This window comes from Homo sapiens, chromosome 13 (assembly GCF_000001405.40).
Source record: "Homo sapiens chromosome 13, GRCh38.p14 Primary Assembly".
Lineage (NCBI taxonomy): Eukaryota > Metazoa > Chordata > Mammalia > Primates > Hominidae > Homo > Homo sapiens.
This window is the reverse complement of record NC_000013.11, coordinates 28,452,298-28,475,870: the sequence shown is the minus strand read 5'-3', so window position 1 is coordinate 28,475,870 and position 23,573 is coordinate 28,452,298. Positions and strand designations below refer to the sequence as shown.

Below are 23,573 nucleotides of genomic sequence, written 5' to 3'. Positions count from 1 at the left end.
GCTCTTCATCAAAGCATGGGCCCTGTCAGCATAGCTGGTAGTGTAGTCTCCATTTAATGTGGTTACTTTAATCTAGGCATTCACTTATAATGCCCACTTCATATTATCTGATAAATACTTGGATAGAGATATGACACAGAGGTTAAGAACTAAGAGTTAACTTTTTTTTATTAAGTTTCAGAGCCCTATAAGAATAAGCATCGCAAATAAAAATGTTGGTAGCGTCCGGAAATTTGCAATTGCATTCTTAACCCTTCTCCCATCCTTGCCACCAACCCCAAAGATTCTATGAGATTTAGTCTATGAGATTTCGGCCTTTAATAAGCTACATCTTAAGGAAAGAATATTTTCTCTTATTGTGAATTATGCTTAATTAACCTCGAACAACCTTTGTAAAAGGCTCATGATCTTAAATTCAAATTTTAGAAACATGATACTTAGGGATCTCTATTTAGATAAAGAGGCCATTTATCATTCAGGATTATGTACTACTGAAAACACAGTATGCAAAATCAAAGACAGATGCATTTCATTTCAAATAAACGGAATATACAGAGCTTTAAGTTAAAAACAAATAAATTAGAAATAAAAAATTGATATAAAAGGAAACACCAGATTTATTCAGAGTCCTAGTGACATAATTTGTTAAAAATTTCCATTTAAATAGGGAAAATTCAAAATATGCAATTAGGAGTGATTTAAAACTAACACTAAATTAAATTGAAAAGATTGTAACGGGGGAGGGAACAGCAAGTTTTTTGCAACATGTTTGTAAACTTCTACTATTAGGTAGTGATGTTACAGAACATTAAGGGAAAATTAGGTCTCTAAAATCAGCCTTCTAAAGTTTTAAGCTGGAAAAACAACTAGTGTAAAATCTCACACTGATGGGGTAATATGTGGCAACAAATTTCAAAATAACTGGATATTCTAGGCCTTCAACATAACTCTGTGATTACTTTAGTCATCAGTTGCTGGGTTTTTAAAAATAGCAGCTTTATTGAGGTAAATCTCACATACTATAGGAGACCAGAATATGACACCCCAAAATATGACTGTAAGAGACAAGAATATTAAAGTATATAATTCAGTGGTTTTTGGTCCATTCAAGAGTTGTGCAACCATCACCATTAATCTAATTTTAGAACATTTTCATCACCCCCAAAAGAAACCCAATACTGATTATCAGTCACCCTCCATCCCCTCCCCGCAAGCCCTGGCAACCACTAATCTACCTTCCTGTCTCCAGGATTTGCCTGCTCTGAACATTTCATATAAATGGAATCATACAATATGTGGCCATTTGTGACTGGCTTCTTTTACTTAGCACAATGATTTGTGGGGTTTGTGTGTGTGTGTGTGTGTGTGTGTGTGTGTGTGTGTGTCTGTGGTTGTTTTGTTTTGTTTTGTTTTGTTTTTGAGACAGAGTTTCTGTCGCCCAGGGCTGGAGTGCAGTGGTGCAATCTCAGCTCACTGAAATCTCCTCCTCCAGGTTCAAGTGATTCTCATGCCTCAGCCTCCCAGGTAGCTGGGATTACAGGTGCATGCCACCACACCTGGCTAATTTTTGTATTTTTGGTAAAGACAGGATTTCACCATGTTGTTCAAACTGGTCTCGAACTCCTGACCTCAGGTGATACAGCTGCCTCAGCCTCCTAAAATGCTGGGATTACAGGCATAAGCCACCATGCCCGGCCTGTTTTTTGTTTTTTAACAATAAAACTAGAGGAATTTATTTTCTCATAATTCTGGAAGCTGGAAGCTTGAGATCAAGGAGATCAAGGTGCTGGCAGGTCTGGTTTCTCCTGAGGCATCTCTCTGTGGCTTGCAAATAGCTGCTTTCTCCTTGTGTGCTTACATGACGTTTTCTCTGTGGGCCAGCATAATGTTTTCAAGATCATCTATGTGGCAGCACATATCAGCATTCCTTTTTATTGCCAAATAATACCACATTGTAAGGATCTGCCATATTTTATTTACCCATTCATCAGATGATGGACATTGGGTTCTTTCTTTCTTTCTTTCTTTCTTCCTTTCTTTCTTTCTTTCTTTCTTTCTTTCTTTCTTTCTTTCTTTCTTTCTTTCTTTCTTTCCTTCCTTCCTTCCTTCCTTCCTTCCTTCCTTCCTTCCTTCCTTCCTTCTTTCTTTCTTTCTTTCTTTCTTTCTTTCTTTTCTTTCTCTCTCTCTCTCTCTCTCTCTTTCTTTCTTTCTTTCTTTCTTTCTTTTGAGATATAGTCTTGCTCTGTCACCCAGGCTGGAGTGCAATTGCGCAGTCTTGGCTCACTGCAATCTCCGCCTCCCGGGTTTAAGCCATTCTCCTGCCTCAGCCTCCCAAGTAGCTGGGACTACAGGCGCGCACCACCATGCCTGGCTAATTTTTGTATTTTTAGTAGAGACGGGGTTTCACCATGTTGGCCAGGCTGGCCTCGAACTCCTGACCTCAGGTGATCCACCCTCCTCAGCCTCCCAAAGTGCTGGGGTTACAGGCGTGAGCCACTGCGCTGGGCCTGGGTTGTTTCTTTTTGGCTGTTATAGGTAATACTGCTGTGGACATTTGTGTGTAAGTTTTTATGTGGATGGATGTTTTCATCTGTCTTGGGTAGATACCTAGGAGTGCAATTGCTGAGTCATGTGTTTAAATTATGATCAACTCTTATGTTTAACCATCGAGGAATTGCCATACTGCTTGCCAAAGTGGGTTGCACCGTTTAAAAGTCCTACCTGCGATGTAAGAGGGTTCCAGTTTCTCCACATTCTCACCAACACTTGTTCTTATCTGTCTTTTTTATTTAAGCTTTCCCAGTCGGCATGAAGTGGTGTCTCCCTGTGTTTTTTATTTGCATGTTCCTGATGAATAATGATGTCCTTTATCTTTTCATGGGCTTATTGGTCATTTATATATCTTCTTTGGGAAGGTGTCTATTCAGAGCCTTGGTTGATCTTTAAAATTAGGCTGTTGTCTTTTTACTAACCATAAGTATTTCTAAAATGTGATTTCTAACTTATACATTGTTATCAATTACTGTGACCCCAGGATCAGAATTTTTAGCTGGAAAGGATCCTAAAAACCGAACCCTAATCTCCTGTGTTGACAGATGAAGAATCGGAGGCTTAATGTGGCCCGCCCATGGCCACAACAGAACTCACAAATGGCAGAGCTAGGGAGATTAATGACTCATAATAAAAAATGGAAAAACACAGATGTTTCATGAATTATATTCAAATAAAGCTCCTTTCTTACAGAGAATAACCCTAAGACTTCAACAGAATAAGGGGTGCCAAGGTGGCATCTGGTGGGAGAGAAACCAGGGGATTTGTCTTGAAGTTGGGTTCGACCAGCTAGAACACTGTTTATTTAGATTAGTAAAAATAGCAGTTTTCTAAACATACTCTTAGTCAGACTTTACAGACTTTACATTGAGAGTCTTGAGTTTTACAAGTGACCTCAAGGCTGTCTGGTTCATAATGACCTCCAGTGGGAGTTGGCTCTTTTAGTATCCATCATGGCAGCTTTGAAGAGCATTTGAAGAAAGAGCCTCAATCATCTGGGCTTTGGATTTAGTTGCAAAATAAAGCCATCATTTACTTGGATATGTATTCACTCTTCCCAATGAAGTCAAAGAAAACATTCCATTTTGCCTAATGAAACTAAGGTGGGGAATTAGGGGTGGCATTTTAGAACACTCTACGTATAGGCTTTCTATGTGAGGTCTAGCATGTGCGAAAGGAGAGAAGGGATTTGTGTCAAAGAGTCATAAAGTTCTGTTCCACCTGCCAGATAATACAGAACAGAAAAACAATGAAGAAAAGACTCAGATAAGATCAATACAAAGTGTCAGTGTTCAAATAAGTCCACGTTCACATGTTGGTTTTTTAATGCTATTAGCCTACACTGCTTGACCTTAACAGTTTTTCTAACAAAGTAGCATGGGATAAAGCCCATTTTCATGCTCTATGTTGAGTTTTTTTGTTTTATTTTATTTAAATGTTTTCGTGATGTAAGGAGATCTGTATGCCTCTTATGATTATATTGTAATTGACTTTGATGAAAACAGTAGTTCACAGAAGGGACAAGATCATTTATTGGGAGGACAAAAATCATTCTTTTAAATCAGATTTCTAGGCTGCCATGTGAAGCATTAGAAAGTTCTCATCTGCATCTGAGATTCATTGCTAAATTATAGCACTCCACCCTTGAAAATGAAATAGCCTGTAGGTTTGTTATGTAAATGGGCAACATGACTCTGAGCTACTGAGACGATCAAGCTGACTTCCCCATGCTATGACTATGCATGTGTTTATGGGTACGTACATACACATCTATCTTTATATAAATCACTAATAAGATGGGCAAGTGTCTAGCATGCAGTAGATGCTAAAACAAATGTTGAATCTTTGTTACTCAGATAGGTACATGGACATGAAACTGCCTCAAAGAAATGTGTTAAGGCCTAATAATGTGAATTCAAAACATTCAAGAAATAAATATTTTCACTTTCCCTTTTTCTTATTCGTTTTCCTGTTAAACTATAATCTTGACACCTCCAATAACCTTTATGAGATTCTAGTTTCCTATTAACTGAAGGATAGTGATGCACTCAAAGTCACCAGTTACTTGGAAATTTGTTCCTTATACTTCTGTTTACCTGTGTTTTGGTTAACTGTTTTTTATCTAGCTTCCTCATTCCAGGTGCAAAATACACTGATGTTACTGGAGACAAATTATGTGGCAACGCTTTTTTTTAGAATAACCCCATTTTTGTCAGTGTCTTTTAACCACTCAGTTATGTTGTCTTCTGGTTGGGGGACAGCATGGGGAGTGTGGACACGAACAAGTAGAGGGCACACTGTCTAAGAGATCTTCTCTAAATAGCACTTCTTGCGCGGCGCGGTGGCTCACGTCTGTAATCCTAGCACTTTGGGAAGCCGAGGTGGGCGGATCACCTGAGGTCAGGAGTTTGAGACCAACCTGGCCAACATGGCAAAACCCCGTCTCTACTAAAAATATAAAAATTAGCTGGGTGTGGTGGCAGGCGCCTGTAATCACAGCTACTTGGAAGGCTGAGGCAGGAGAATCGCTTGAACCCAGGAGGCGGAGGCTGCAGTGAGCTGAGATTGTGCCATTGCACTCCAGCCTGGGCGACAAGAGCAAAACTCCATCTCAAAAATAAGTAAATAAATAAATAAATAGCACTTCTCTCAGCTGGGCTTTGGGTGGTTCTTTGAAGTTAGCGGTTTCCTCTGATGAGGGTCAGGAGTACTGGTGTTCTAAGTTGCTGATAAAGAAAGATTCATGTGGTCTGGAAACCAAGATGTAGGCAGTGGGATGTCACAAACAGGGGAACTGCTTCTTTTCCTGGACGGGAGCGCTCAGCATCTCCAGACAGACCACAGAGATAACTACAAGTAATGCCAGAAGTTTCCACAGGAAGCTTCGATGGATCTTTTCCAGCACATGAACAATTGCTCAATTAAATCCCCAGAGTTCCATGCCATAAAGAAGGGCAGAAACTATTCTGGCATGGAAGTTTCTCAGGGCAGGTGTTATCCATTGCTGGCTGTGGCTTTAGAAAAGTCTGGCGTTTCCACAGATCCCTGATTTTGGGCCACATGTTGCCTCAAGAAACTCATAAAGATAAGTATGAGTTAAAATACATTCCTAGGTACCTGAAGGGGTTGACTTGATCTAGGAGGTTGTTTGATAGACCAATGGGATCCATATGAAACAGGGATTTTAATTTAGTTAATATTCAGCCATTTTATTTAGGAGTACTTTGATACCGGGATCTACTGTCTGTAAAAATTACTTTTAATATATTAATTTAGGCTGGGCTCATGCCTCTAATCTCAACACTTTGGGAGGCCGAGGCAGGTGGATCACCTGAGGTCAGGAGTTCAAGACCAGCCTGGCAAACATGACGAAACCCCATCTCTACTAAAAATACAAAAAATTAGCCACGCTGATGATGCGCACCTGTAGTCCCAGCTACTCAGGAGGCTGAGGCACGAGAATCGCTTGAACCTGGCAGGCAGAGGTTGCAGAGTGAGTCAAGATCGCACCAAGGCACTCCAGCCTGGGAAACAAAGTGAAACTCTGTCTCAAAAATAAAATAAAATAAAAATTTAAAAGATATTAATTTATATCATCAGCAATACCAGAAAAGCATATGTTAATTTAGTATCTTTGAAATTATATACCCAGCAAAATATTCTGACAGAAGCAGGGGGAGGGGAAGTGATTCCCCTAGATGTTGGTGATAGTGGGCATCTGCCACGTGCCAGGCAGCAAGCCAGCCTCTTCCACAGCACAGCACCGAATGCACACACCCTGCCTGTGAGGTGGCTCGTAGGCTTTCCAGTTCCACTCACGAGGAGCCTGAGGAGCAGCCAATTAAGTGATGCCAAGGTCATGCAGTCAGTAGGTGGAAAAGCTAAGCCTCAAACGCAGATCTTCTAACTGAATCCAGTTTTTGAGATAGTCAAATCCAAGAGAAACGCTGGAGAGGACTGCTGGGCATAACCAGGGTATTTGACACACACATCATCTCACAGATCTGTGACCTAATGGTAAACCCTCCATGACCATTCACTTAGAGCTTCTACCTTTGCTTCCACTGTTTAAACTGATTTTTTAAAGAAAACTATACCCTGAGATTGGTGCCAAATACTAAGTTTTCCTCCCTCCAAGAATTTCTTTCCTCTCTCCTGCTAACTTCTATTCCCGCCTAAGGAACGCTAATCCTGGGCCCCTCATTCCCTGCCTTTCGGAGGCATTGCAGCTGCCTGGGAAGAGGGGAGGAGGAGGAGGCTGGTGAAGAAGAGGGAGAAGGAGAAGAGAGACTGAGGGATGAGGGGAGGAAGGAGGCGAGAGAGATCCTTAGTGATAGTATTCTGATTGGTCAGTAATAGCTTCAAGGGAGGCTCAGCCTCTGTAGCACCTATGGTTCAAAAAATCATGAGGCTGTCTGTTAGGCTGTTCTTACATTGCTGTAAAGAAATATCTGAGGCTTGGTAATTTATTAAGAGGTATAATTGACTCACAGTTCTCCAGGCTGTACAAGCATGGTGCTAGCATCTGCTTGCCTTCCAGTGAGGCCTCAGGGAGCCCTTACTCATGTCAAAGGCAAAACAGGAGCAGGTGTATCACATGGTGGCAGCAGGAACAAGAGAAGGGGGGAGGTGCCACACACTTTCAGATAATCAGATCTAAACAACAGCACCATGCCATGCATGAGGGATCCACCCCCACGACCCAAACACCTCCCATCAGGCCCCACCTCCAACATTGAGGATTACAATTCACCATCAGAATTGGAGGGTCAGCATCCAAGCTATATCAGGCTGGGACTGTGAGAAATGGAAGGTCAGAGATTTCAAGGTCGTCTAGTCCAATCTCTTTTTTACAGATAAGATAACTGAGATCTGGAAAGAGAGATGACTTGTCTAGGGTGATACAGCTAGTCACTAAAATGGATGTCATTATTGCATCATATGGAGATGTGTAGATTTTAAAGCACTTTCACCACCTCACTTTATTGCCTCACAACAATCCTCCGAGATGTTTGTCGAATGTCACGTAAGCGTGTGAACAGTTCCCTTTTGACTGTACCATTGTAGAGGGAACTCATAGATTACGTAAGACAAACCAAATGTCTTCTAAAACTGATTTTGATTCTATAATTAGTTTTCCAAATGAGGAAACTGGTTCAGAAAGGGAAATGATTGGCCAAAAATATCATTGCTCAACTAATGATTGCATGAAATTCAGAGCCCAGGAAAATTTCTGTACTTTTTATTCAGAAAAAAAGATGAGACAGGCCTATAGGACTAGATGACCCACACTGGAAAAAGTTCAGTATTGAAAATATATTTTGGATGACACTGACATTTATTCTTGAGAGTTTTTACTAAGTTATTGCATATTTGAATATTATAACTAGTTATATATTTTAATATAATTTCATTGAACCTATATGAATCCATTACCATTCTACATAAATAGGCTTTTGGATGTTATTTAGGTCATTTGGTATAAAAGGATATATAATATTTATGAGCAAGGGTAGAGCTAGAAAAAATTTGTGAATTAAGAGAAATTTGTATTAGTGTATCTTTTGCTTATAAATTAAAGATACAAGTAAATTAAAGATGTAAATAAATTAAAAATGAAAAACTCACCTTCATGGAAAGATAACTTAAAAAAAGGTAAGAAGACAATTTACAAATAATACATTTTAAAAATTTGTTTTTCAGGATCTAGTTCAGGTTCAAAATTAAAAGATCCTGAACTGAGTTTAAAAGGCACCCAGCACATCATGCAAGCAGGCCAGACACTGCATCTCCAATGCAGGTAAGTGGCTGTGTTGGTTTGGGAATAATCTAGTTGCCATGCCTAAGGCAAAATCATTCCCTGGCAGAGTAAAAAGGTAGGGACCTCAGTGATCTCCTGTGATCTGCAAAGTGCAAACCATAGGCATCCAGCTTCCCATGAAAGGGGATTCATGGGGAAGGGAGAGCATTACTCACTCAGGGAAATGGGGGAAGGGATGCCCAAATAGTTCTGCATCTTTATTCTGAGTATTGTTCTACAGCTTTTCTGAATGTGTTGCTTTCCCGTAAAGAGGAAGATGACTACACTTAAGAGAGGACCTCCGCTTCCTAATAAAATGAATGCTGAGGAACTGGTGCTGAGCCTAGGGCCCAGCCATAAATATGTTTTGTTTTCTTATCTGTGATTGCAGGGGGGAAGCAGCCCATAAATGGTCTTTGCCTGAAATGGTGAGTAAGGAAAGCGAAAGGCTGAGCATAACTAAATCTGCCTGTGGAAGAAATGGCAAACAATTCTGCAGTACTTTAACCTTGAACACAGCTCAAGCAAACCACACTGGCTTCTACAGCTGCAAATATCTAGCTGTACCTACTTCAAAGAAGAAGGAAACAGAATCTGCAATCTATATATTTATTAGTGGTAAGACTTCCATTTTCTACATTCTGTTTGCTTTTGCTTTGCAAATGAGTCATAAATCTACCCTGATCCATTGGAAAGGTTGCTTTCCTAGTGAGTATGAAAGAAACGGGTTAGGAAAGAGATTCCATCCTAGTTGTAGACACTTTCGTGGATGTCAATTTTAACCAGAATTGTCAAGGCCCAGTTAGTCACTATGTGCTCCACAAAGAGAGAGACTGGTCTGTATAGGTCACCTCTGTACCCACAGCTCCTAGCACAGTATGTGGCCCATAGTTGGATGAATAAGTGAATAAAAGGATTTTAGTTCTATTTCTTAGTTATTGAGAAGCCCAAAATAGAATACATGATTTTTGTCATTTAACACAGCTGCATTCTCTTATATGTTGGAACTGTAAAATACTGTTGTTTCTACTAAATTAATAAACGCAATGTTGCTGTTATCTCGAGTGTTATATAACTGGTTCCAATGGACAATGTTGTATTATTTCATGTTCACTGAGGAACTACTATAATGACATGAGAACTGGCACTGACCAAGATACAGTGCAAAGGGCAAAGGGCAAAAATGAATCATGTTTGATTCATTTTTTATGGTACTCGTAAAAAAATCATTTTCATTCATTCATAATTTTTATGATACTGTTCTTCCTTCCTTAGAGAATGAACAAATGAAGTAACATTCAAAGGGGAGAAATGCAAAATCTTTTAAGAAGTAGAAACTCACAGTAAAATTGGAACCCTGAGAAAGAATAATAAAAATGGCCTGTCACTTTCTTCTTCCTTGTTTAGTTCCAATTTTCAAATCTTGAGGGGATTAAAGAAAAAAACGCACACACACAAACAAGGCTGTAGAGAACACAAAGCAATATTAGTAGGCACTTCAGGCACAGAATCAGGTTTAAAAAAAACAAAAGAAAACAACCAACCATCAGCATCAATAGCTAAATATACATTGTGGGTCTACCTTCTGGTGAGGTCAGGAACTGGGTCTTTGCATTGGAGGTAGTACAATAGAACTAACATTTTAGTGAGGCAGTTCTTTTTCGTTGTTGTTTGTTTGTTTTTTTGAGATGGAGTCTTGATCTCTCACCCATGCTGGAGTGCAATGGCAGCTCACTGCAACTTCTGCCTCCCAGGGGCAAGCGATTACTCCTGCCTCAGCCTCCTGCGTAGCTAGGATTACAGGCGTCTGCCACCACTCCTGGCTAATTTTTGTATTTTTAGTAGAGACTGGGTTTCACCATGTTGGTCAGGCTGGTCTCGAACTCCTGACCTCAGGTGATCCACCTGCCTCGGCCTCCCAAAGTGTTGGGATTACAGGCATGAGCTACCGTGCCTGGCCATGAGATTTTTTTTAATTTGTGAAATAAGGCAACTAGACAGTGTTTTTCCCTGAGCATAACATGTACATATCCAAATTCAGGATTAGTCTTAGGAGACAGCAGAACAGTTGCCTGTTATTGACAGTAACCTCTTTGTAGCTGCTATCAGCCTGATTTTGACTGAGCCACTTTCATGTCCCCGATCCTCCAAATTCTGTTTTGACATTTTGTGCTTGTCCAGGGGGTAGATAACTGTAAGGGACTAACCATCCAAGCAGTTTGCCGTCAAGGGATGCAATCAGCTCACTTCCACATATGAGTGGGAGGTAGGCCGGGGAATTTTGCTTGGGGAAGTCAGCCCACTTCTAAAGCAGGGATGAAAGGATGGTAGGCAGGAATGAGGAAGGGTAGAGAAGGTGCAGCATTAAGAGCAGAGACTTTCAGAGAGGTAATTTTGCAGCTGAGGGGGAAAGACAACACGCTTGATAGTGGTGGAAAAAGCCATGTACTCAGCCATCTGTTCTCTTTCTCTAATTCCACGTAGCATATTGTGTTCTTTCCGACATCTGTGGAGAAAGGAAAACACTGCAGTGAGTCACAGACTGCCCCTGTCTCTATAGGGGAGTGGGAGAAAAATTTATTCATTCTAATATTTTCATAAAACTTTCTCCTATAGGTTTATCAGTCTGACTTGCAAATTGAACACTTAAATGAATAAAAAGAAAACCATCTCTTTTTTTCTAATAAATAGTGTTCAGCTATTTTCACCTTTAACTCCTAAACTATTCAATAGACATCATGGCTTTATGAAGCCAGGGAGTGCAAGCCTCTCCACTCAGTCCCCTACTATCACAAAGGAGAGACACTGCTATTTAGAATTAGTTCCATTTCAACTATACAACAGAGCAGATCTGGCAAACAATCATGACTTTGAGTGTCAAATCCATTGTTAATCTAAGCCCTGTGATGGCACGGTCCATGTCTGTCCTGGTTACTTTTATCTGCAATGTGCCTCCCTGGTACAGTGCCTTGCACATATTAGGAAATCCATAATAATTGCTAAATGAATAAATGAATGGATTAACAGGTGCTTTGTGGAATACTATGTTAAAATTGACATTGAGGATAAATTCCAGGCTTAGTGGGAAAAAGTGCCATGATTGATTATTGATGTCTCTTGTGGGATTGTCGGGGAGCAGTGGCCGTTAGGTCATGTATTTATCATGTCTGCCTTCCTGTAATAGTCCACAACCATTCGCAGAAAATTACAAGTTCCAATATCATAAAACACTTGCATAATTTGTTGGACATTAGGAAATTATCTATCACTTAGATTGTTTTTGGATAAGGAAGGATTGTGAAATGCGTTGTATTTCATAGATTATTATGGAATACACACATATACATACATACATATACTACGAATATTATATGAGCTTGGTGGAAAAATTGTTATGATAATATTATGAGACCACTATTTTTAAATAGCACTGATACTAAAAGATATTGGAATCAATAATGGTAACCATAGAAGAGCCTTCTGAATCTTGTTTGCTAATTAATTTAATCAGCAAATATTTAGGAAACAGTTACTATGAGCCTGTAACTGTACTACTATGAACAGTAACATCTATTTTGTTATTTGTTTCCTGTTAGGGTGATATTGGTCTCATAATCACACCTTATTAAAGTCCAAGGTAGCTGTGATATAATCCATTAAACAATCATAACTTTTCCGAGGAGTCTAATATTTTATGTCTCTCTCTCATTATTTTATTAACTCTCTTTCTGAGAAAATTTGATCTTCTGCTTCCATTGTTACCGAACACTTCCATGACAGGTTTATTTTAGTTCAGGAGCACAAAACTTATCTCTGATGACTCAGAGCATTGTCTCTGGCATTAATAAAACTCCAACCATTTCCTAATATACAGCTGTGATTACTCGCTAGATATTAACTTGGTTATCATGTATTTATTATTGTTGAATATTTACTTTAGAATATGTTTGGGGGATTTCAGCCCCAATAAGCATCTGCAGATTATTGGGATTTCATTTTATTTTTCTCTAAGGATGAGTAACCCTATGTAAACACATCTTTTGAAAAGGTAGATTTGTAGTCTAATAGGGTTTTAAGAAAAAGAATCAGGAGTATAGCTCTGTCTACATGTCACAAAACCCAGCATGTAAATTATGAACAAACTCTTACTTAGGCATTATTGATTGCCTGCTGTGTAACAGGCGCTGTTCCCACCTGAGCACTGATTAGGATGTAACATCTGATATGTAATGTACAGAAAAATCAATATCAGCACTTTATCATTCCAGCTTGTATAAATCCACCAAACCTCTAGCATAATGTATTAAATCAATTTAAGTACCCAAGTAATTATATTTAACTACTTTACTTAATTACCGAATTATCTAGTAAATTTAAATTTCCGCTAATATAATAATTTCTTACATTTGTTTCTTTTCACTTAAACAAATGGTTTCATTTACTTGATGCCATTTAATCCTCACAACCATCCAATGAAGCATCGTTCTCTTCATTTTACAAGCAAAGGACCAAGAATTCACTTCACATTAGGGCTCTGTGGGGAGTCATGGGAAAGTGCTCGCACTGGAATAAGGTGGTCAGGTTTTCCCTTCACATTCTCAGTGGCAGGAGGAGGTCGGAAGGGGCAAGACTGAGGCAGGAAGGCCAGATAGGGGCCTGCTCTGTGCATCAAAGCAGGTGGAAGGTGGTGTCCTGAGTTCACTTTGGTCGTGGTGGGGAAGGAGAGTTGACAGAATTGGGGGATTCGTTGGCCTTGGTGATCAGAGGTTGAGTGGCTGAGGGAAAGAGGGGAATCAATGTGACACTCAGAATCCTGGAAGGGGCCACTTGGTCCCACAGCCAGGTGGAGGTTTGCCACACTAAATTACCTTGATGCAAAGGCACCATCATTATCATCATTCTCTCTGGATATACCCTTGGTATGGCTTTTGAATCATAATAGTGGAAAATATGATATGCATTTGTAAAAATTGCTTTGTTAAAAATGAATTGAATCTAATTATAGCTACGAAACACCAGGTCATAAACAAAAACAAATTACAAAGCACCTCCTAATTACAATAGAGTACAATTCTTCTATTAATTTCTAGAAGAACAGTAATGTTGGGGCCATTTAAGTGAACTTCATCCCCTTGGAGAGAGAAAGGAGCACTTTTGCACTTCTTTTCTGACACTCTGGTGTACACAGGAAATGGGCTCCAGGTCAGCCTTTTCTCACAGTTAGAGGATTTCATTGAAAATATTATTGTAATATATGAGTTATGACTGTAAAGTAAGAAAACTGACCAGACGAGTTTTTTAATGGCATCTCTGAAGTAGTTAACACTTGTCAGTATCTTTAATTTAGTTAGCAAGACCTTAAACTTAGGGTGTTGAGCTCCCCACACTGTGAAGTTAGCTTATATCTCTCTCTCACCAGCCGTAAGCTTCTAGGGCCTATTTAAATATAATATCTCCTCTTGAAAAATTACAATCGAAAAGCAAAATGATGGGGCTGGGTGGATCCCTTCTAGTTCATCCCTGTAAAAGAAACTCATCTCTTCTCTTCTGTTTCTCTTTACTTGATTATTTTCCTCTTTGGCTCTATTAAAGTCAATGGGTTGGAGCATTTTTATAAGAAATTTTTCCGCAGTTGATTTTCCCATATGCATAAAACTCATGAGATTTGCACAGCGGCATAATCTGAGGTAGAAACATTATCGGACACATTGGGTATATAACTGAAAGCAGTAGAATTTCTAACAACTTAGATATTCTGGGAGAGAATAATAATTATGCTTTTATATAAATGTGTTTAGCGGGGGAAAAAAAGGCTCTACCTGGCTATGAAACCTTGAGCAAGTAGAAATCCTACCAGTGCAGATATTCTGAGGATTCTTTTTTTATTCTTATTTTTACTTTTATTTTTTGAGATAGTCTTGCTTTGTCGCCCAGGCTGGAGTGCAGTGGCGATTCTGAGGAGGATTCAATGAACTCATTTGTACTGAACTTCAGATTTCCTTAAGAGCTTTTACTTAATTATCTCTGAGAGAAAGGGAGTTGGTATTTCTTCCATGTTATATATGAGAAAACAACCTCAGTGACTTGCATGAGCTGGACAGAGCTCATACATTGAGAAACCAGGATGAGGATCCAGCTAGGTTAGGTCTATTTCCCCTGTACTGGAGTTGCAGCTCTTGACATCAAACTACGAGCTAGTTGTTGTTTTAATTGTTAAGAACATAGATTATACAGTTATTAAAATTTTGTAATCTCAAATTTATTCTTTTTCTTTAAAGGAAAAATTTACTAAGTTGAGCAGGGCTTTTAAAAATGTGCCTCCAAATTCATTAATGGGCTATGGAATCAAATGAATGGGTTTCAACCTGCATTAAAAAAAAAAAAGCTAGGAGCTGGGGCATCCACCTGTAGTCTCAGCTATTTAGGAGGCTGGGACAAGAGGATCACTTGAGCTCAGGATTTGAGGCTGCAGTGAGCTGTGATTGCACCTGTGAATAGCCACTGTACTCCAGCCTGGGCAACGTAGTGAAACCCTGTCTCAAAAAAGAAAAACCAACCCAGAATAGAAAAGAAAATATCCAAGTAAATTGCAAAGAGTAAGGGTAAGTGTTGTTTAGTAAAACTATTTTTGTTTCAATTTTATACATTCATATATCCATTTTACCCTCATAAATGTAAAGTACATACGTGCGTGTGTGTGTGTGTGTGTGTGTGTGTGTGTGTAATGGGTCTGACGTAAAATGTATTTCTTTTTGTGAAAGTTAGCATAATAAGTTTAAAAGTTACCAGGATAGACCATATCTATTATTTAGGTAAGCAGTGCCAATTGTAAGCACTGTGATTTTTTGGGGGGGTGGGGTGGGGGGAGGGGCACACCAGTACTGAAACAGAGGTCTGGAGAAAATGTGGCAGTGGAAAGAAGCCCTCTCCTTTAGCTGATTTGGGTCCACTGCTTTTGGTGGTTCTGTGCAATCCACTCATTTCACTCCTGAACTGAGTTTTCCCACTCGGAGGCTTGGCCCAGGAGTTTCCACCAACAGGAATCTGTCTGCAGATGTTGATTACATACCTACTCCACACAAGGCCCTGTTGTTTGATCTGTGAGAGACATAAAAAGCAAAGTCACAGAATCCTGCAATTGTGAAGTCCCCCAGTTACTCTCTAGGACCATAGCTCACAGATTTGTAAGTATTTTTTAAAGCATGAGTTTTATTTTTTAGAGAATAACTATTGTTCAGAAGTGGGTCTCTAAGGAGTGAAGAGGGCTCTGTTAATAGCCCCTAATGGGGAGCCCTATTCATGTTCTGTGAGGCGTGGCTGTTGCTCCAGCACTGCCTGCCTTTAGATCCCTTCCCAGATCTGACACAATTTGGCACACACAGAAGGCTCAGTCAACACTGCCCAGCTGGGTGATGGTTGGGCAGATGGTGTTTGTTGCCCAATCTGCCAGACTGGTATGGCAAGTCCAATAAACATCTCCATGGAACCAGCAGGGACATCAACAGAGTAGCAATCTGCAGGCTTCATCGCCGAGCCTTGCCGCCTCCACTTTCCCCCTGTGGGGATCAGAAGGACCCTTGTAAGATGGAAATGCACCAGGAATGTGGGCCCTTCATCCCCAGACCGAAAGAAGGTGTTCACGCTTTCATGCAGGTCAGCACTGTGTTGGGCAGAGAGCAGCACATGGCTGAACAGATTGCCAAAGCTTCAAAAATATGTCAATGGAATCACTATAATTTCATGAGAGAAACTTTAAAGAGAAAATATTGTTTCTATTCATCAAAATTCTCCTCCAAGGGAAAATAGGCAAAAACAGTTTACATTTTGCAGGAAGAAAACAAGAAAGCGCCCAAAATAAAACCCAAACTCATAGCCACACTAGTTGGTTGAATTTTTTAGGCATAGATTTCTTAGGAAATCCATGACGTTATCTAATATTGCTTGGTTAATGTCTAGAGTCTTCTCTGGTTTTAAATTTCCATTTTCCACATGGCCTCATTCTCTCCTCCACCTGCCCATCCAAAGAGCTTCCCTCCCTTACTCATCTCACCTCTATCCCTAACATGTGGCTCCTTCCATGTATTTTCTGAAATGTGTGTTTCTTCTAACACTAATCTTCCAGTAGGAACTGGTTTCCAAAGTTTTGATCAGGAATTGTCTAGGGTTCCCACCATAGAGTCGCTTGAGTCCCTGCATTACCAGGAGGCCACAAGTGCAGACAGGTTGGGTGATGGATCCTGTTTTTCCTCTCACATCCCTACTGGATGCATTTGCTCAGGAGACAGGTGAACATGTTGGGGTGAACAAAGGTAGGACTCTCAGTCTCTGGATGACATGTCTGGAAACCCAGGTGAGATTCCTAAAATGGCAGCAACCTGAGACTGACGTGCATCTGCAGAATTATCCTTCAAATTCTCTAAAGAACTCCTAGGAATTTTCTGGCCCATCTGCACACATCTTCATCAAAAACCTAGTGCAAGGTCAGGTTTTGCTGGATTTATTTTTTCATTTTGATAAAGATGTGAAAGAGGGGAAACAGATATTTCTAGGGTTTAAAATACACACTGATGATGTTGTTTGCAATCGCAGTTTTTTTCTTGGGAAATAGACCCCTCTACATCCTGGCTGTGCACTCCTTCTAGGGCTGAAGTATGAAGGAGATTATTCATTCTATCCATCACTGGCAGACAGCTGATTAGGACCACATGGTGAGAGTTTAGAGAACAGTAACTTAACTCTTAACCATTTTCCTTTCCAGCTACGTGGAAATTGGATGGAAGACATTCTTGATATCTTTAAGCCCTGACATGTCACATTTCCCTTCTAAAAACATTTCTGTCATTAAACACTAAGGGAGCTTGACTATAGAAGACCCTGATATATGATTGGGACAGAAGCCACTCACATTGGTAGACTTGCTGGCAGTCAGGAACAAATGCATCTTCTCTCTTTGGCCCCTGCCCCAGACCCTGTATTCTCCTAGGATGTCCTAATAATTTCATCCTTAGCACTTGGTGTGTGGACATGTAAAATGTTCAGGCCATTCCCTCAGAGAGAAAACAATTTCTGGGGCTCTCTAAAATCCATACCAGAAAAAATTTGGCATGCCATCCCTCTAGAGCCACATTGCTAAGACTTACTAGCAACGACGCAGTTATACATCATCAGGCATTTAGTAGAACTATATAAGTACTCAAAAATAATCAGAATGAACATAGTCCTGAATAAGCCACTTGGACACAATTTAAGGCTTTGAAAAGTTGATGACTGTGGTGGAATTATGAAATCTAAAGATGGGCCGGGTGTGGTGGCCCATGCCTGTAATCCCAGTATTTGGGAGGCTGAAGTGGGCAGATGACTTGGGGTCACCAGCCTGACGGACATGGTGAAACCCCGTCTCTACTAAAAGTACAAAAAAATTAGCCAGGTGTGATGGCGCATGTGTATAGTCCCAGCTACTCGGGAGGCTGAGGCAGGAGAATCGCTTGAACCCAGGAGGTGGAGGTTGCAGTGAGCCAAGATTGCGCCACTGCACTCCAGCCTGGGCGATAGAGCAAGACTCCATCACAAAAAAAAAAAAAAAAAAAGAAAAGGAAAGAAAAAAGGAAAAGAAATCTAAAGATGGCAATGAAGTCCAAAGGTAATAAAATTGACCATATTCTCTCATTTTTCCCCTACAATCAAGAAGTGTGAAAAACAATTGATCAAAACTTTATGGTTTTAAGGATTTTAAAAACTCTCCCTCAAGTGATCTTTTAAGAAAAATAAGCAAGGGACTTTTTCAGAAGAAATCCCCTTAAGCTGAAAAGGCTTTAAGTTTCTGGCATTTCATAACTTCAACAATGATAATGAAATGCTTGCCTTGCTTGGAGATGAGGAGGTGATCTGTTTTTATCTTTATGGTCCTTCCAGTTCTAATATTCTACAGTTTTTCCTTTAACTATTTAAAATATTTGTTGTGTGTCATTTGATGTATTTTTGCTGAATTATGTTGGCTAGCTGATTGTGTTGTTCAAAATAGGTAGCTTACTAAAGCAGTAAACACCCCTCCCTTCCTTCCTTCCTTCATCAAATGTCAATTAATAAGCTACAGTTGAAACAACATGATCCAGGCTTCAGACTGCTTTCAAATCCCTGTTCGGATACTCACTAGGTCTTTGACTTTGGACAAATTGCTTAATAAGGAGAATGGTTAACATTTAGGTGGGTCTTAATCCATGCTGGGTGCCATCCTAAGCACTTTGCATTCATTAACAGATTTTATCCTTACAACAACCCTGTGAAGTAGTGCTCTCATTTTAAAAATTAGATGTGTGTGCATGTCTATGTGTGTGTGTGTGTGTATGATTTTTTTTTTTCCTAGAGCAGTTTCAGGCTCACAGCAAAATTGAGAGGAAGGTACAGAGATTTCCTATATACCCCTTGTCCCCACATGCATAGTCTTCATTATCAACATTCCCCACCAGAATGGTACATTTGTTTCAATTAATGAACCTACAGTGAGACATCATAATCACCCAAGTGCAAAGTGTACATGAGGGTTCACCCTTGGTGTTGGACATTCTATGGATTGGAGAAACATACAATGACATGTATCCACTATTATAGTACCATACAGAGTATTTTCACTGCCCTAAAATCTACTGTGCTCTACTTAGTCATCCTTTCCTTAATCCCAACCCCTGGCAAACACCTATCCTTATTTTTCTTTCTTTTTTTTTTTTTGAGAGGGAGTCTCATCCTGTTGCCCAGGCTGGAGGGCAGTGGTGCAATCTCAGCTCACTGCAACCTCTGCCTCCAGGGTTCAAACGATTCTCCTGCCTCAGCCTCCCAAGTAGCTGGGATTACAGGTGCCCACCACCACACCCAGCTAATTTTTGTATTTTTAGTAGAGACAGGGTTTCACCATGTTGGCCAGGCTGGTCTCGAGCTCCTGACCTCGTGATCCACCCACCTCCGCCTCCTAAAGTGCTGGGATTACAGGCATGAGCCACTGTGCCCGGCCGGCAAACACTTATCTTTCTTACTGTTTCCATAGTTTTGCCTTTTCCAGAATTCATGTAGTTGGAATCATACAGTATGTAGCCTTTTCAGATTGGCTTCCTTCATTTTGTAATATGCATTTAAAGTTCCTCCATGTCTTTCCATGGCTTAATATCTAATTTCTTTTTATTGCTGAATAATATTCCATCATATAAATATTTTTATATTCATAGTTTATATATTTTTATATTCATTATATAAATTCATTATATAATTATATTCATAGTTTATTTACCCATTCACCTACCAAAGGACATCTTGGCTGCTTCCAAGTTTTAGCAATAATGAATAAAGCTGCTATAAACATCCATGTGCAGGTTTTGGGTGGATGTAATTCTTCAGGTCCTTTGGGCAAATACCAAGGAACATGATTGCTCAATTTTAGGGCAATAGAAAGGCTAGTTTTGTAAGAAACTGCCAAACCGTCTTCCAAAGTGGCTGTCTCGTGTTGCATTCCCACCAGCAGCAAATGACAATTCCTATCACTCTGCCTCCTTGCCAACATTTGCTGTTGGCAGTGTTCTGGATTTTGGCTGCTCTAATAAGTATGTAATGGTCTCTCATTGTTATTTTAGTTTGCATTTTCCCAATGACATGACGTGGAGCACCTTTTCATATGCTTATTTGCCATCTGTAGGTCTTCTTTGGTGAAATGACCCATTTTAAACAGAGTTGTTTGTTTTCTTACTGATGAGTTTTAAGAATTCTTTGTATGTTTTGGAAAACAATTCTTTTTTCAGCTGTATCTTTTGCAAATATTTTCTCCCAGTCTGTGCCCTGTCTTCTCATTCTCTTGATGTTGTCTTTTGCAGAGCAGGAGTTTTGAATTTTAATGAAATCCAGCTTATCAATTGTTTTGTAGATCATGCCTTTAGTGTTGCATCTAAAAAGTCATTGTCATACCGAAGTTCATCTAGGTTTTCTCCTGTTATATTCTAGGAGTTTTATAGTTTCGCATTTTACATTTAGGTCTCTATGATCCATTTTGTGTTGATTTTTCTAAAGAGTGTAAGGTCTGTGTCTAGCCTCATTTTTTGTTTGTTTGTTTGTATGCAGATGCCCAGTTTTTCAGCACCATTTATTGACAAGATGATTTTTGCTCCTTTGTCAAAGATCAGTTGACTGTATTTATGTGAGCCTATTTCTGGGCTCTATATTCTGTTCCACTGACCTATTTGTCTATCCTTTTGCCAATATCACACTGTCTTGATTACTATAGCTTTGTAGTAAGTCTTGAAGTTAGGTAGTGTCAGTCTTCCAACTTTGCTCTTCTTCAATATTATATTGGCTATTCTGGGTCTTTTGCCTCTCCATATAAACTTTAGGATCAGTTTGTCCATATCCACAAAGTAACTTCTGGGATTTTGATTGGGATTGCATTGAATCTGCAGATCAAGTTGGGAAGAACTGACATTTTAACAATATTGAACCTTTTTATCCAAGATGAAATATCTCTCCATTCATTTAGTTTTTCTTCAGTTTTGTTCATCATAGTTTTGTAGTTTTCCTCATACATATAGATTCTTATATATATTTTGATAGACTTATGTCTAGGTGTTTCACTTTTGGGGGTGCTAATGCAAATGGTATTGTGTTTTTCATTTCAACTCTACTAGTTTTCATTGCTTGTATATAGGAAAGCAACTGACTTTTGAATTTAACTTTGTGTCCTGCAAGCTTGCTATAATCTTTTACTAGTTCCAGGGGTATTTTTGTTGATTCTTTTTGATTTTCTATACAGATGATCACATCATCTGTGAACAAAGGCAATTTTATTTTTTCTTTTCCAATCTGTATACCTTCTATTTCCCTTTCTTGTCTTATTGCATGAGTTAAGACTTCCAGTGTGATGTTGGAAAGTAGTAGTGAGAGGGAAGATCCTTGCCTTGATCCTGATCTTAGTCTGAAAGTATTATCACAGTCATCTCCATTTATTTCTCAGAAAGGTTAAGTAGCTTTTTCAAGGTTATATAACTAGTGTATGGCAGAGATGGCAACAAAGTTCTTGCCTATAACCACCTCCCATAATCAAGAGTGCATATGTGCAAAACATTTAGGACGGTGTTTGGTGTATAGTATGCACTATATACGAGTTTATTATTATTAATACTACCACTCATTATTACCATTTTTTGAGCTTGGTTTTCTCAACTGTAAAATGAGAAGAGTATTACTTCAGGGGCTATTAGGAGACTACATGAGACAATACAGACTGCCTAACACTTAGGAGGCAGTAGTGATTGGTAGTAATCCCTGTGTGTGAAAAACACCGTGCTGGACACAGTAGGAAGTACAAAGATGATACCAACAACTTTTAAGGGGCCTGCAGTTTGGTAGGTCAAAGAAAATGAGTTACAATTAACCATACTGGGGAAAGAGCAGTAAGAGGGGTGTGGACTGGGGGTGCTCTGCCTGGGACATTCCACCCTTCCCCACTCCCCCCACCCAGCTCTTCTGTAACAGCTCACTCTTCCTCACTTTTCAGGTCTCAAGTTAAATATCCCCCCTCTGGGAAGCACCCTAGGCACCCCCAAACTCGGGATGGTGCTCCTACTGACCTTTCACACAGGACTCACCTCTCACAAGCTCTACGGACAGGACTGAGTTCGTCCTGCTTACCATGATAGCCCCAGGACCCAGCACAGGGTATAGTACACAGAAGGTGCTCAGTAAATCTTTGTTAAATGAAAGAAACATGGGATTTTTAAGTATATTAGTCTTACCTGACTTCCTTGACTTTAAAAAGGAAATTGAGGGCACATTGAGAAAATGAGACAAATGTGGGGGTCAAAATCATGTCATGTGACTAAATCACGATCCCAAAATTTTCCAACAAACTAGAGCAGTGAACAGGGATTAGCAAAATGAGATTTAACAGGAATACATGTAAAGGCCTGTATTTGGCTTGCAAAACCCACTAACTACCCTAGTACTGGATGGGGGAAGCCATTGCTGAGACAGCACACATGCAAAAGACTTCAGACTTTCAGTTGACTCCATATTTACCAAGAGAATGTATCCAACCTTGGGATACATTAAGAAATATGTAGCACCCTGCCAGGCGTGGTGGCTTACGCCTGTAGTCCCAACACTTGGGGAGGCCGAGGCAGGTAGATCACTTGAGGTCAGGAGTTTGAGACCAGCCTGACCAACATGGTGAAACCCCATCTCTACTAAAAATACAAAATTAGCCCGGTGTGGTGGCACATGCCTGTAATCCCAGCTTCTTGGGAGGCTGAGGCAGGAGAATCACTTGAACCCAGGAGGTAAAGCTTGCAGTGAGCTGAGATGGCAGCATTGCACTCCAGCCTGGGCAACAAGAGTGAAACTCTGTCAGAAAGGAAAGGAAAGGAAAGGAAAGGAAAGGAAAGGAAAGGAAAGGAAAGGAAAGGAAAGGAAAGGAAAGGAAAGGAAAGGAAAGGAAAGGAAAGGAAAGGAAAGGAAAGGAAAGGGGAGGGGGAGGGGGAGGGGAGGAAAGGAAGAAATATATAGCACCAGGAATAAAGGTAGTGCCAGACTTAGGTGGTGCCAGACTTGCTGTTTAGTTTACACCTCAAGAGGGACATTAAAAATAGGAATTTCAAGCAAATTATTAATCCCTTTACACTTCATTGTCATCATCTTTAAAATGGGTGCCTGCCTCATAGGGTTGTGAGCATGAAGTAATTTGATGATTTTATTATTTTCATTGGCAAGAAGCAATTGAAAGGACTTAAATATTTAATCTAAAAATATAAAGAACTGGGTGGGAAAATAGGAGACATGAGTGACAGTCTCATTCAAAGTTCTCTTATGTGAAAAAGAGATTAAGCTTCGTCTTTATAATCCTAGATGGCAGAACAACTATCTAAGAATTTCAGCTTGACTTAAGGAAACACTTTCTGACATGCAAAGCTGTCCCAAAGTGGAAGGAAGGAATGTCTTGGGAGTGATTAGTCCCCACGCATCTAGGAAGCAGACACTCACTTGATGGGACCAGATCAGATGAGGCCTCAGGACCTTTCCTCTGCTGGGATTCATTAAGCACCTGGTGTAGGTCACTATCGTTTATTAATGTCCGGCTCAGGCTTGTTATTAATACATACATCATCTCATTTCATCCTCGAAACAACCCAATAAGAGAAATTCCTTTACAGAAAAGTTAAAGAAATTCAATACCATGTTTAAGGCTGCATACTTC

At 39.8% G+C, this 23,573-nt stretch overlaps 1 protein-coding gene across 4 annotated transcripts in view, besides 2 other annotated features; it reads left to right on the top strand.

The window, feature by feature from the left end:
* FLT1 (fms related receptor tyrosine kinase 1) overlaps positions 1 to 23,573 on the top strand; it is a 194,783-nt gene that overhangs the window by 19,258 nt on the left and 151,952 nt on the right. For all 4 annotated transcript variants that reach the window (NM_002019.4, NM_001160030.2, NM_001159920.2 and 1 more), the window contains exons 2-3: positions 8,254 to 8,350; positions 8,742 to 8,968. In NM_002019.4, the coding sequence (NP_002010.2) occupies positions 8,254 to 8,350; positions 8,742 to 8,968 (324 nt within the window). The remainder of the gene's footprint in view (positions 1 to 8,253; positions 8,351 to 8,741; positions 8,969 to 23,573) is intronic.
* Positions 8,373 to 8,604: a silencer, noted in NCBI's record as "fragment chr13:29041404-29041635 (GRCh37/hg19 assembly coordinates)". NCBI's record gives its function as "represses an EF-1alpha promoter that drives an FKBP-Casp9 reporter gene in an ReSE screen in HepG2 liver carcinoma cells {active_cell/tissue: HepG2}" and the evidence as "EXISTENCE:reporter gene assay evidence [ECO:0000049][PMID:32094911]".
* Positions 15,657 to 15,826: an enhancer, noted in NCBI's record as "experimental_32819 CRE fragment used in MPRA reporter constructs". NCBI's record gives its function as "activates a minimal promoter by MPRAs in K562 erythroleukemia cells, with activity observed for both the introgressed and non-introgressed 13:29034267 variant alleles {active_cell/tissue: K562}" and the evidence as "EXISTENCE:reporter gene assay evidence [ECO:0000049][PMID:34662402]".